The following is a 15,233-nucleotide window of genomic DNA, read 5'->3' as shown; positions in this document are numbered from 1 at the left end:
TTGGATTTTTGGACTAGGGATGATCCATCTGTGTGTGTGTGTGTGTGTGTGTGTGTGTGTGTGTGTGTGTGTGTGTGTTTCCAGGATTAATGGCCATCCTACAGAGTTCAGAACTTCCCATTTCTAGCATTGTGAATACACTCTCATCACACTCAAAGAAGACTAAGGGCTTATACTGTCAAAATAAAGTAGTACTATAAATAGGTCAACCAAACTTTCAAACCCATAGCCAAACAGGGAACACAGTGACCGTTCCACCTTCTCTTTCATTATCTTACATTTGGGGTAAAGTAAAATGTCAAACTATGCCAGAATTTGAAGGAAGAGAATAAAAATCCATCTTCTCATCAAAGGGGACTAGATCTATTCTACATTAAAGACATGGACTTAGAGAATCGTAAAATATGAGAAAGGGAAGGTATCTTAGTAAGCTTCACATCTTATTTGTTGATTGTACAGAGGAAACAGACGCAGAAGAAAAATTACTTCCTGGGATCACATAGCAAAGTGATGACAGATTCCAGGCCTTTATCTGGGTCCTTTGATTTCTCATCTATTTACGTCACCAGCTTATCTACTGCTGCCTCTCACGGAAGACATGTTCACTGTAGCCACCAAGACCCATGCCCTCACCTCTGAAACATTCTAGAAAAAAAATTTCACAATAAATATATGAACACATTCTTGAATAACATGCAAGCAGTATAGACAAAGCAAAAATCTCTCTTGGTGCTCTTTCAGTGCCATTATTGTCTTTCTTATCTTTTTCCATACATAATCAGAGATATGTACACGTATGTCTAAAAATAGTCTCATTATCTGATTTTCTTTTCCAAAATAGAATTCTAAGTATATATTCTGGGCCCCTTTTGTAAACTTAACGTGTCCTTAAGATCTTTTTCTCTACCCCATAGTTTAATTCAGCCACCCTTTTGACAGCTACTTAGGTTGTTTCTAAATTTTTGCTATTTGTAAAATGGCAGAGCTACAGTGAAAATCTTAGAGTAGGCCTCCTTGTGTTCAAGCATAGATACTAGCTCAAGCATAGATACATCTCTAGCATAGATACTAAGGATCATAATTACCTGGTAGAAGGGTAATAGACATTTTTAACCTTCAAAGCCATTGACAAATTAGGCTACAAAGTATTCTCCAATTTATATTCCCATCAGCATTGCACAAAAATGCCCATCTTTCTACACCCTTGCCAACACTTGATATTTTTGCTAATATGATGAGTGAAAATCATTCTAATTCCCTGAGTTTAAATGTCTTTTCACATATTACCTGGAAATTCATATTTCTTCTGTGAATTTCCTGGACATATTCTTTAGCCACTTTCCTAACTGATGATTCTTATTGACTTACTTTACCTCTGCAAAGATACAGCAAATAAAAATGACCCAAATCGATGCAAGTGAGATTTGAGGTTTGACACAAAGGACATTTCCTGATGGATTGTGGCAGGGTGAGAAGCAGTTAGACACAACAACCAGGAAACTGAGAAGCTCTGGGCTGTTTGTTGGGTTGGGGAGCCTTTAAAAGTAGAAAATCTTATATATCTGATCGGAGGTCAGTCCTACACCAGGCAAACATGCCTACAGTGATCTCATTGTTAAGCCCCTGGCTAAGATTTTGATCTCTGGAAATGGAGGGCAGTAGATTTATTTCATGAGGAGCCCTCATTTAGGTTTCAAACATCTGGAGCCTTAGTCTGGCTTCTCTTTTGAAAACATCTGAGTGGCTGAGGGGATGGAGGATGGAGGAAATTAGAATATCCCTGCACAGATTTTTACCTCAATATTTAAAAGACACAGACTCCACACTGTCAAATATGTTCCTAAAAATGTATTTGCAAAGTCTAAAGTTTCAAAGAATGTTTGTCAAAGTTACTGAACCAGACCAAGCCATATTTCATGAGTCAAGAGCAGGAATGTCCTATTTCCCAAATAGATAAGACCGATGCTCATGCAGAAAACTGAACGTGGATGCTTGAAGCACCACCAGGTCCTGTTTAGTCATCCTCCCTTTCCTCCTACCTTCCCAGGGCCAAGCAGAATTGTTTAAATTGGCCCCAGCACTATTGACCCTGCAGGACAGCCTCTCAGTACCCCTTGTGTGCAGATGTCAGAAAGATTTGGGACTGTTCTCCTTAGCTGAGCAGAGGGCACCATTTATATTTCAAGCTGTTCCTCTTGAGCTGGGAGGGCAACGGAACATTGGGTCACCCTGAGATGTGCTGCAGCCCTTGGCAGGCCTGCCCCCTGCCTTGGGGAAACATCAAGCGCATAGCTTGCTGGGCAGTGTGTACTTTTCCTTTGCCAAAGTCCTCTTGAACTGACTAGGACATTTACACAACACCTAGCACTCCTGCAAAACTGCAATCCAACCCTTTTTGGATGAAGCTATCTCAAACAGATTTCTCAAAGGTATGCCCTGCCTGGTAAAAGTCCCTACCTAATGTTGGTGCACTGCTTTGCAGTTTCCAAAACATCTTCTTTCAGGGGCTGTAATCCTGTATGTATGCAACAAATAAAGAAACTGGTAAGTGACTTGCGCAAGGTCACCAGCCTGCTAGTAGCTAAACCTTATTTAGCCAACTTTAAGAGAATGGCAATCTTTAAAAATGACCTGCCTCATAGTGTTAAATAAACACTATGTTCAGATTTGAACTTAATATATGACTTTCACTTTTCTTTCTTAGGAGTTAGGTGTTATTATCTGGAAGAACTATTCTTTCGGGTTGTTCTCTTCCCTGGTATTTTTTTTCCCCTGCCACTTGATCAAACAAAACATTTTAGGTTGACATTTCCAACACTTCTCTTTTTTTCCCTACTAGATCTGAAAGCTATCTCTGCATTATACTCCATCAGTGTGTGTTTGTCTGAAGTTGGGGTTGGGAGGAGGGGGCAGTTTGTTTTCTTCTGAGCCTAGTATTCCTTAATACTCTTTTAGAGTTTTCCCTGTTGTAACATTGTTCTGGTGTTTATCTAAAACATGGTGACCCCCTAATTATCCATGCCATCTAAAGAAGCATTATCACAGATAATCCAAAACCATGGGGAATGCTTGGATTGCCCTCTAGGTAAAGGCTGTTTGTCCCCCATTTTATGACTTGGGACTTTATGCCTAGCTTGAGAGTTTATGAAGTTAGCCTGAGTTTCATGAGAAACTGAGCCCAAGTTTCTTAATTCCTTATATCCTGCCTACATCCTGCTGTTCCACTGCCGCAAAATGTGTTTCCCATGAATTCCAGAACCTAGATGCATTAACAACTAGCCCTTCAATTTATTCTCCTCCTGCAAACATCTGGCATTCCCTGTGTCAGCTGACTGGTGCCATGGCTACCAAGAAGCCTTTCCATTTTCTCCTTAATTAGGAAATTGCAATGTACATCTTTCCTCCTCCCTGTGTATCCCCTCATGTCCCTCTCCTGACTACCCACTACAACACACACCAATGTCTTTGTCCTCTACTGCTCCAACATGAAAGCTCATATTTTATATCACCTCCTTGGGTGGCCAGGCCTTTCTCCAGCTGCCTGCACTTAAGTTTTGTGCCTTATTTCATGACAAATATTTGCCCTCTCACTCCTCAGACATTTGTGGGCTGGCCCTATTGCTGACACTAATCACTACTAACTTACTTGTTGCCAAATCCAATGGATATTTTTCATTCCTTATCTTCCTTGATGGCCCTGCTATATAAGACACCTTCTTCTCTCCTGAAACTTTCTGTTCCCTTGAATGTTATGCTATCCTTTCCTAGTTCTTTTCCTACTGTGATTGGGATCCCCCAGCATTCTGTCCTCATCCCACTTTTCTTCTCAGTGTAGGCCTCTCCCAGGGTGGTTTTATATACTGCAGGGATTTCAGCCACCATCCATAAAATGATAAATATTAAATCTCTAGCTCTAGTTCAGATCTTTCTTCTTAGTTTCTGATTGGCATTGTCAATTTCTTGCTGGATATCTCTGCTTAGATTTCACTGGCACCATAAACATGTCTATACAGAACTCCATTACCAACCCCCACCAGATGTACTCCTTCCTAAATTCTATCTATGTCTTCCCCATCACAACAAATGGCATCAACAAGCACTGAGCTGCTCAAGCCAGAAAACTGGGAGTCATGCTTGTCTTCTCTTTCCTTTCCCTACTACCTCCAATCCATCATTAAGTCCTGTCCATTTGTCTTCTGAAATTGAACTTGAATACATACACTTCTCTCCATACCCATTTCTCCAATCTAGGCTCATATAATTTCTTGCCAGAATTACCTCAATAACCTCAAGACTGATCTCTCAGCCTCTAATCTCACTCTCCCCCATCAATTTGCCACTGTCCTGCCATAATCTTTCCAAAACACAAATATGTATCATGAAACTCTTGCTTAAAGTCCTTCAATGGCTCCCCCATGGACTTCACAATAAAATCCGAACTCTAGAAAACCTATAAAGTCCTTTATTACCTGGCCCTGGACTACCTCTCCAATATTATCTCTCATTATTAGGAACCCTCCTCACTTCAGAAAACAAAACAAGACAAATATTTTCAAAAAACATATGAGTTCACTGAACTATTTATAGTCCTCAGAGCTACTGTGTTGTTTAATGTGTTGCAGGTTTTATACTTGCCACCCCTTCTACATATACTAGTCTTCCACTAGCTCTGCCCTTTCTCTGTTGACTTGCTTCTATTTTTCCATCCTTTAAAACTGAGCACAGATTTCACCTCTTTGGGAAGATTTCCATGATCTGCCAGGCTGGGGTTGTCTACTCTTACCATCATTTCTCTTCACTTGTCTGCTCTCCACTATCTTAAGAACAATTAAAGGGCAGAGACAGTGTTCTTAGACTCTGCAGAGTCCGTAGGCACTACACACTGTCTCATGAAAGACTGACCAACTGACCAAGCAATTTTGCATAGGTGTGGTTCTAGCCCTACTCTCCACATCCAGGATTAGCTGTTAGGATGCTGTGAAGTTGATGGGAAGTCTCCTGTTGAGGGAGTAATCCCTGCTGCTGAAAGAAGGCAAAGAGCTGGGGCAGTCATTTTCACATCTTCTTTAGCTCCTGTTAGCTGCAAGGACCACACATCTGATTTCGATGGTTTTCTCTGGGATTCTGCTTTCCTTAACTCCTCTGAGTTTTTGACCTGGCCTCTTCTTTTGCTTGATTGCTTCTTACTCTATACCTAATAATGCAAGGGACTTGGCAAAATGCTTATCTTTTACTTCCAACAATTCATTCTTTCTCCAAGATGAGAACATTAATGAATAATTGTGTCAAAGGTAATCCCTAACTTTCTTTGTGACGTTGTTTCCACCCTCCTCTCCACCAAACCTTTCATTAAAAACCTCTTAACCTTTTGCAAAGTTGATGGTCTTGTTCCTCTTCCTTGTGGGAGGGGGGAAGTAACGTCTGAGCAGAGAAGTAGCCACTAGGTGGTAGTAAAGGACGGGGTAGAAAATCAGGGGTCTTTGTATATTTACATATGGTTCTTTCGGTTCAGGATAATTAATGATAGTGTTAAAACATGTGTCTCTGCACAGAATCAAGATGCAATCATAGCCCTGCAGATGTTCGTGGTTATCTTAATCATTTATTTGATTGTATTGTGACATTACAGGATTTATGGAATATATTATATGTACTAGTGAGGGAGGCTTCTGCTAGAGAAGAGCCAAGGAGCTGGAGAAGGAGATAGATAAATACACAGCTGTGGAGACAAGAACACTGCTTTAACTATCCAGAGACCTAAGTGTCATGCGTGAGCTTTGCCAACTGGATGACTTTGGTTTGGTGCTTTCCCCTCTCAAGGTCTCAGTTTTCCCATAGGTGGGATGAGAGATTTGGGATGTGTGATCTCAAAGGACCTGCAAGCTCTGACAATCTAAGTCAGACACCACATTACTGTACCCTGATGGTTCCTTGCCCCTAGAGTGCATTATCGTGCTTTCTAGTATTGAAGTGAGATACGGAAGGTGATGTTTGACAATGTCCTATCCTCTGAATGGTGTCTTGGCAGCTGCCTCAGATATAACTCATTTGCTGTGGCTTCTTTACTGCTGCTGCTTCTAGATGCTCCTGACAGCTGAAATTGTGCTTCTGCAGGAATGTGCAGGACTCTCCTTCCTTGGTCATCTGGATGGTGTGATTTGAAGAGTCACAGGAATTTCTCTTCACCAAAACCCAACAAAATCTTCCCTGCCTTGCCTAGGAGTCATTCTGCTTACCGTTCTAGCTTTAGAAACTCGCTCTTTAAATGAAGCATTGCCCTGTCCTTGCATTGCTTGTATAAATCTCATGTGCCTCTCTGATGAGAGGAGCCATGCTCACTCTGCATATCTGTGTGCACAAATCACAAATTTTGGGGGACCACTCAGTTTTCCTTTTGCTGTCCCTGCTAAGTCATATGACAGAGACATCAGATATTAAGACATGAGTGAGCATCTTGCAGGTCAACAAGCGACATATTATCTCCTCCTAGTCTACCCCCTCCTTCAGTTGCCAGATGTGTGCCCCTTTTTGCTTCTTGTTCTTCCTTTCCTCCCTAGTCTCTAACTTCCCCTTTTCTCCCTCAAGACTTCCTTCCCTCTTGCTCCATTTCTAGCTTTCCATCCCTCATTCCTGGTTTCTCCACCATGGCCTCCTCCTCACCTAGTTTCTCCCCTCTGCCTTCAGTTGCCTGGGATTGCTTCCTATGTCACTTATCTTTGACTCCAGTTTCTATTTTTTGTCATTTATCAGCACACATGAAAACTGCAGCAGCAGGATAGCAGGGAGGAGTTGCTGCAATGTACTTTATAGAGGCATCCCACTTATCCAAAGATTCTTAATCTCAGAGCCTGAATAAGTGGTCTGCAAATTGGGGGGGTGGAGGGGGGAGGGCATGCAGGTCAATTTGTTGGGTATAGAAGAAAATATGAAAATTTCTATTCACATTTAATTTGAGAGACACTAGAAAGAAATTAAGATTTAGGATTAAATAATTTATATAAAGTGTTTAAAGCTGTGTGGTTCACTAAATGCTATGTATTAGACTATTATTATTACTATTATATGTAACATGTGTATTTTCACTGGCATCCTCATCAGGTGAGTTGGCTTTCTTCGGCTTTCCTGTTGTGCATACTCTGTAAGGTATCCTGAGGGAAGAGTGGGGGCTCCACAAGATGGAGGGGTGTCCTTGGGGCCCTTACTTTTTTTCCTGAATGTATACCAGAGATATTGATGTTTCCTTGGACCTAGTTAAGTAGATTTATGGATATTATCTAACTACATTTAACCCTCACAAAATGGACAAGCAGCTTAAGAAGATTCCTGCAAATAGACCATGTATTGGAGATAATACTAGTAATGTAAGCACATGGCAGAGCTCACACTTCTACTCCTAAAATGAGATTTTTATCAGCCTCATTATGAAGTAAAAACCATGGTAATCTAATTACACCTGACAAGAAGTCAGCAAAAACATATTGCAAGAATAATGAAGACTATATGAAATATGGATTTATGTCAATTCTCAATGATGAAAGATCTTGCCCTAAGTATATAATTGTGCCTTAAGGTATTAGCTAATAATATAATAAAGCCATCACAATTAACAAGACATTTAACATGCTGTTTATTTCATCTTTGTCTCATCCTTTTACACTTTTTATTTATTGTGTGTTTCATTTTATATATATTATCATTAATATATGGGGGAGAGATTAGGACATGTGTATGATTTATATAATTGTTAACAATGTATAAATATACATGTTTTGAGGAAGCATGCTCAAAGCTTTTCTAATTGAAAAAGGGTGTGCAATCAAAAGGATTTGGAGACCACTGGCCTAAACCATACTTAAAATAGCTGGGAGCCCGCAGACAGAGGCAAAAGAACTCTGGATAAGAGAAAAATAACTGTCACAAAGTCTCTTGCTCTTTCCTTATAGCATAGTCATGCAACCAACTTTAGAGCTTCACCTTGACAATTTCACATAGAATAAAGCAATGGAGATCTCAGGAACTGGGAGAAGTGAAACACCAAAGGAACTTATAAAATAATAAAATTGCAAGGCTGGAAGGTTGGATCCAGCCCTCAAGAGGTACATCGTAGGTTACAAAAGGCTTTCCTGGCATGCCTATGAATGCTCTTTCCCTCACTTTAATTATGAATGGGCTTGGAAGAAAGTTTCAGAGAGATTAAGAGACTGTCCCAAGATCTCTTGTAAGTGACATAACTGAGATTTAAATCAAGTGTTCCATTCCCCTCCATAGTGTTCTTTCCACCATGTCAAATGGCCTCTGAAACCTTTGTGGCCATAATCAGCTGAGCTCCCTGCATTACTCGTTGCAGTCAGATTGTTGTGATTGGAGGAATACTTGGAGTGGAGAAAATCTGCTAGGAAGACATCCACGAGATATCAACAAATCAATTGCCCTTCGTCCTCCACCCTAGTGAGTAGTAATTCCTGACTGCATGTATAGCATCCATTTATATCCCTGTCTGGGTTTTAAAGTGTTTTTCTAATATCCTTCTCTTTTAAAGGTTTAAGAAATGAATTCCAAGCTTAAGGAAAGCATGTTTTTTATATGTGATTACAAGTTCTGTGAGGAGTCATGTCAGTTTTCACAGCTGTAATGTGTGTCTGTCCCTTTATGTAGGCCACTGACTGTATGAAAGTTCACTGCAATGGAGTTAGAAACATGTGGAGATGAAATTACCAAGTATATGTCAGGGAAGTAATTTGGTGTCTACTTTGAGAAGACTCGCATTAATGGAAGTCTTCCAAGAATGTTTAAGAAAATTAATTGCACAGCAACTCTCTAAGCTATAGTAAAAGTTGATGGAAAAATGTGCATTGCTTTGCAGAAATTTGCTTCACTATCATCTTTTCAAAAGAGCTTTTATTTTAACAAATGAAGCACATAGCCAATTATTTAATGACCATCTTTACTTTTAGAGGTGGAAGTCCTAGACTATGTTCTGTGTTTTCTTTTATCTCATTGTGTTTTGTGAGGTTCAAGCCCCCTAGAAAAACATTTAAGAAAGTACTCTGGGGGCTAAATATTGGTGCAGGCACTGTGGGGAATGGAAACATTTCATAAGTACCAGACTTCTACTTAGGGCGGCTACACACACACACACACACACACACACACACGCCAATGTTTGACTACCCATCACTGCATCTGATTAAAAGTCTAAATGGTAAATCACGAAACCTCAAATGGATAGACTGGTATGGTCTGTAGTAATTAAGCTATCTCTTTTTAAAAATATTATGACAAAAAATATTTCTTTAGGAATATTAATTTGGTGAGGGTTATCCAGGGTGGATTGGAGTAAGAGACATGATAGGCAGACACTAAGCTCCCTATTTTTAGATGTAAGTGGCATGTCCAAGACCCCCTAGCACAACAGAATGGAAACTTTGTTTTTTCTGCTGCTTAGATGCTTTCTTTCAGTGGTTTTCTCTATTCCTGAATACACACACACACACACACACACACACACACACAGAGAGAGAGAGAGAGAGACCCAAACTAGTGATTTGATGATGTGACCTAGTCTTCACTTTAGATGAATGTATGACATTTTAATTTTTAAAAAATTAGCTGGAAAATAGTTCTAGCTCCTTTCCCTCACATTTGTCTAACTCTTTGGAAACCAGTGTCCCCATTGGTTAGTCCCTACTAATTCCACTTAAGGAGAATTCATCATAAAATCAAGTGGAATTGGCATCACTGAGATGATCCTGTCTTGATTCCAGAGGTAGGACTATTAGATGCTTTTCTCTGTGGGATGTTAAAAGCTCCTGTAATTACTATGATGCCCAGGGAGAAAGACCAACTCAAAGGGTCCTGAAAGAGCATCTGTTTCCTACCTGACAAATTTTATTGTGGGGGTTATAAGTATAAGGCAGAGTTTGGGGAATCATGAAAGAAGGAAGTCATTGTCTCATATAAAACAGATTTTAAAGCTTGGTCAGCAGAAAAGTCTGCAGAGTACCTTAGAATTGTGCCCTTATCCTGAATTACTGGCTGTGACCATGGCAGGCTCCTACGGTGGACTTAGCTAAGCCCTAGGCTTTGCTATGACAGCCTTTACACCTTTTATCCTCAGCCTTATAAGCTCAGTTTTACTTTTTAATTTTTGAAGACCAAAAGAAAAAATGCTCATTTCTTTAGCCCCAAGAAAGATTAATGTATGTTTGGTTATCAAAGAAATTGTGGTCTCTGTCCTTGTACATGTCTTTGCTAGTTCAAGTAATTGTAGTGACTTTGCATTCCATTACTTCAGTTAGGTTCTCTCTCAGAGCTGACACGAGTCAGTGATTGCTACCCCCTTCACAAGTTGTTGGGGGAATGCCAATACAGCTATGAGCAAGGGAGGGAGCTGTGGAGGAACATGCTGTGGGGCCCAGAGAGGAATAAGGGGTAACCAGGGTTCAGGAGCCAGGTTTCCCCAGAGAGAGACAAAAAGAAAGCAAACAAAAGGAAGAGACAGGTCTAAACAGGCTCCCCAGACAGGGCCCCTTTGCTTTAAGAACAGAGCCTTAAACTTCACAAAGCTCAGGGAGGAAAGGAAGCCAGGGGTTAAACGTGGCCTTTGAAATTCAGTTGAAGAATTATTAACTGAAAATATACAGAGAGAAAAGCCACACATATACACAGCAACATTTGCTATTCTTAAAACCCATTCAGACACTCTATGAATTCAGAAATGTGCTTAAACCTGCATATCCACATAGATACTAATATTGACCCCTCAGGAACCACAAAGGTACCACAAAGACACAGATAATAAACATAAGAAGAGGCTCAACAGCAGGAGGACACAGAGTCCCAAGATGCCTAACGTGGGTTGCTTTTGGAGGCATGTGGCAGACAGTTTAGTGATCTGATGCGATCCATTATCAGAACTGGGGTCCCATTGCTCCTGTAATTGGTACCAGAGTAAGAAATTTAAACTTCTCCCTGAATTTTACTTTTTAAATCAAGTCCAAACTGAGCCAGAGCTCTGAGAGCAGAATAGAAGCCCGTCTCTCCCTCTTCCTCCTCCTTCATAAAAGGAGCAAGGAGACTTGAAGGCCTCCAAGGTCCCTTGGAGGCACCAGAGCCTGCAATGTGGCAAGTCCGCCTGCCCCCTCCCTGCATTTACAGTCCAATGACCCAACGCCCCCAGACCCCAGACAGTTTAACCAGCCCCCGCAGGGCCTCCTTGAGAGTTTCCCAGATTCCTGAGGGGAACCTGATCCCGCCCTGGGATCAGCATGGGCTCTTCACAGCATCCCCGAAAGATCCTTGCTCCTCGGGGATCCCCGAGAACAGCACCCGTTCCCACACACAGCCATCCCTGCAGCGCCATCACCCACCCGTGGCTGGGAGGTGACCTCCCAGGGTCAGTGGTGAGGCCGCCCAGGGAGAGGGCCCGGAGGCCAGGCGGGAAACAGAGCAGAAGCGACAGAAATTCCCCCTGCCAGCCCAGGCTGCCAAGGTAGCCCTGGACAATGCCCTGTCTGACCCGCCGCCCCACCAAGCCAGGCCACGGCCAGAGCCAGAGTGGCCTTCGGCCCTGAGCGACAGGAGAAGGCAGTTCTGAAGCAAACACGGCACAAAGACAAACGCAGCCTGGGAACTTTGCACCAGCTTCTACACTGGAAGGCCTAAAACGTCCCTTGTTCCAAACACCCCCCTCATTCCCCCCAACAAAAGTATTTACCTCATGAAGAAAGGGAGAGCGCTAGACTCACAGAACAGTTGGCAGAGCCAGAAGGGCAATCATCTAGTCTGACCCTTTCATCTTACATATGGGGAAACAGGCCCACAGTAAAGAAGAGACTTAAACTCTGAAGAGTGTTTTTGAAAAGTCTTTCCTTGATTATGAAGGCAAGATGTGTGTGTGTGTGTGTGTGGTGTGTGTACTCACACACACACGTGAGAGAGAGAAAAAGAGGTGTGGGGACGAGATGGGATAGAAAGGAGAAGACAGGAGAGGGGAGGGAAGGGAAGAGAAGCAGAGGGGAGGGGAGGGACTGCATGCAAGCCTGAGCCAAGGAACTTGTGAGCAGGAACACTAATTGCAGTGCAAACAAAAATATCTTTGAGTGTAAGTTGCCCCTCACTCTAGAGACCAGATTTTCTTCCCACTTCCCAGGGGCCCACAGGGACCCAGAACAGGGTAGAGAAATTTGCCATTTGGGGAATACAAGTAAGGGCAGTGGTTGAGAGCATGGATTTTGGAGTCAGATAGCTAATCTTTTAAGCCCTGGTTCTATCATTTACTAGATGTGTAAATGATACACATTTACCCATTGATTCTCAACCATATTGCCCCCCAGGGAACATTTGGCCATGTCTGGGAACATTTTTGGTTGCCACAACTGGTGGGGTCATACTGGCATCTAGTGGGTAGAGGACAGGGATGCTACTAAACATCCTATAATGCACAGGACAGCCCCTCACAACATAGAATTATCCAGCCCAACATGTCAGTAGTGCCAAGGTTAAGAAACTCTGCATTAGGTGAATGGTTTAGCTATTTTCTGAACTTCAATTTATTTATCTGTGACTTGAGAATAATATTACCTATCTTTCAGGGTTGTTAAGATAATTAAATAGGCTAATACCTTTAAAGCAATTAACATAGTGCCTGGCACAAAGTAAGCACTCCATTAATTATTAGATTTGAGTATTATCAAACCCTCCCTTAACTCCACCATCTCCTATAGTTACCATCCTATTTCCCTGTTCCCCTTATAGCATAATTTCTTGAAATATTTGTTTATACTCAAAATTTCCACTTTCCCAATTCTCTCTTGAACCTATTCTAATCAGGCTTTCGTTGCTACCACTCCTTTCTTATAAAGGTCACAAGTGACAAACACATTGTTAATTACAATGGTAATCTCTCAGTCCTCATCTTACTTGACCTACCATCAGCATTTAAAATGCCTTTTCACTCTCTCTTTTTTGAAAAACTTTCTTTGCTTGACTTCCAGGATACTATTCCTTTGATTATTTTCCTACCTTGGTGGACAAAGCTTCACATTTCCTTTGTTCCAAGAGTAGAGGGCTTGGTCTGATTTGTTTTGTTGAATGAATGAATCAACAAATAATATTTACTATGAAGATTAAAAGAGATAATTGTTTAAAGTGCTTAGCACACATTAAGTACTCAATAGTCATCACCACCATCACTACGACTGTTAGCATTGATGTTATTGCTATTACAATTATTCTCCCCTACTGATTATGAGCCCCTTGAAAATCAGACTAATGGTACTTTGTCTTGGTTCTCCTTTGTATAGAGCTTTGTTCAATAGAACAATATATAGCCAATATCCAGAAAACAGTTTCCAATGGGCAGGATTAGCTGAAGATGGCGTGAGAGGAGAAATATTTTATAAAGAGTTTTACTGAGGTTAGAGGTGGGTGGCTAGAGGCTCAGAGGAACAGACATGCAGTAGGAGGTCATACCCTACCCATTTTCACTCTCTGATTCAGAAATGATAGGACCACGAAAGGGAAGGAGTAGCAATTCTCACCCATTAATCATCCCAATACCTCCTTGCCTAGGTATGGAGGAGAAGTGGGCCTGTGGCCAAATATTAGCATGAACAGAGCTTATCTGTTGGGTTTGACAGAGTGAACAACATAAATTCACTTTTCTCACAGTACTGGATTAACTTAATTTTCAGTCATCTTGAACTTTGAGTAACTTTATACACTTTCCTGCTCCTACCACCATCTTTACAAATTTGCAAGTGGCATTTATATTACCCAGAGAATATGGTCCCTTAGGGATAGTCATTAGAGAAAGCACACAACCCAAATCTATTAGAAAACTTTTGAACACTCAAAGCATCCATTAGGTGTTGCTGATCGTTCTGATAACATAATTTGGCAGCATTTTCAGTTAAAATGAGGTAATAACCAAATAGGATCTTTGAACCAAGTTTCTTTTTTCCACTAAAAACAGAATGTCTAGATTTTTATATAATATTCAAGCCATTAACTACCACCAACTGTGGCATTAAATGGTGGCTAGTCTCTCCCTTATCCACTTTACCACTCATACCAAGAAAACATCCATAATTTGGACCCTGACTTGGAAACGTCATTAAATAAAACCCATATGTTTCCAATCCCTGACCATCCAAAACCCCACTCCTACTCACTTGCATTATCACCCATATGCAATAACCAACTTGCTTTGCAGATGGGTCAGCCTATCTGTAAATTGCCAGATAGGACCTGTCCAAGTGCAGAGAAAAAGTTTAGTCCGATTTGCATAAGCAACCAAAGAAAAATGTTTGATCCACAAAACCCAAACCATTAACCTCAAAAGGAATTATGATGATACAACTTTATTTTCAAAACAGCATTTTTTCACTTTTTTAAACAACAGTCTTATTTTTTAAGCCTTCCAGTAGGTGCTTAATAAATATGCAAGTGACATAAAGGCCACCATGATTTTCCAATTGGCTTGGCTATTGGTGGCTTTGGCAGTTCTACTATTATTTGTCAAAGATCCTTCAGTATCCATCTGGGCCCACAGAAAGCCAGAGCTCCCGAAAGAAGTGTTGATAGAGCCCAAGGGGGAAGTTGCAATTCATTCTGGAAAGGTGACCCAGCTGCCAGCATCCCCTGAGCCTCCTGTAGATGCCAAATGAGCTCCTTGTCTAGTAATCCCATCTGTGATCTAAATGTATACAGAAACTGCCCGATCATCTCCTCCTCTTGACTAATGTGCACATGGAGATGTATTTGTCCTACTAAGATACAGAGATTGCTGTCAGATCTATTAAAGATAACAGTTGTCATCTTTTTAATCATCATTATTGTAAAAATGATAAGGATAACACATAATAATGAGATAGTAATAGCTGTTGCTATCTGTATTTACTCTATGTCAGGCATTGTGCTAGGTATTCTATATATGTCTCATTTAATTTTTTAAATGAGATATAAATATCATACCATAAAGCTCACCCCTTGAATGTGTAGAATTCAGTGCTTTTTAGTATATTCACAAGGTTCTGCAACCATCACCACTATCTAATTCCAGAACATTTCATTACCTTGTCTCGTTTAATTTTCACAGTAGCCCTGGGGAATAAATATTTATTTTAAACCCCATTTTGCAGATGAGGTAACATTTACAGAGGTTAAATGATTTGCAAAGCTCCCATAGCACATAAGTGGTGGAATTCAGAGTCAAAGACAGATCTCTCTGG

General features: G+C 41.0%; 1 protein-coding gene across 15 annotated transcripts in view; it reads left to right on the top strand.

Annotated features, from left to right (window-relative positions):
* COL4A6 (collagen type IV alpha 6 chain) overlaps window positions 1–15,233 on the top strand; it is a 283,845-nt gene that overhangs the window by 129,579 nt on the left and 139,033 nt on the right. The gene's annotated exons all lie outside the window — the stretch shown is intronic.

This window comes from Homo sapiens, chromosome X (genome assembly GCF_000001405.40).
Source record: "Homo sapiens chromosome X, GRCh38.p14 Primary Assembly".
NCBI classification, from domain to species: domain Eukaryota; kingdom Metazoa; phylum Chordata; class Mammalia; order Primates; family Hominidae; genus Homo; species Homo sapiens.
This window is presented reverse-complemented; position numbering and strand designations above follow the sequence as displayed.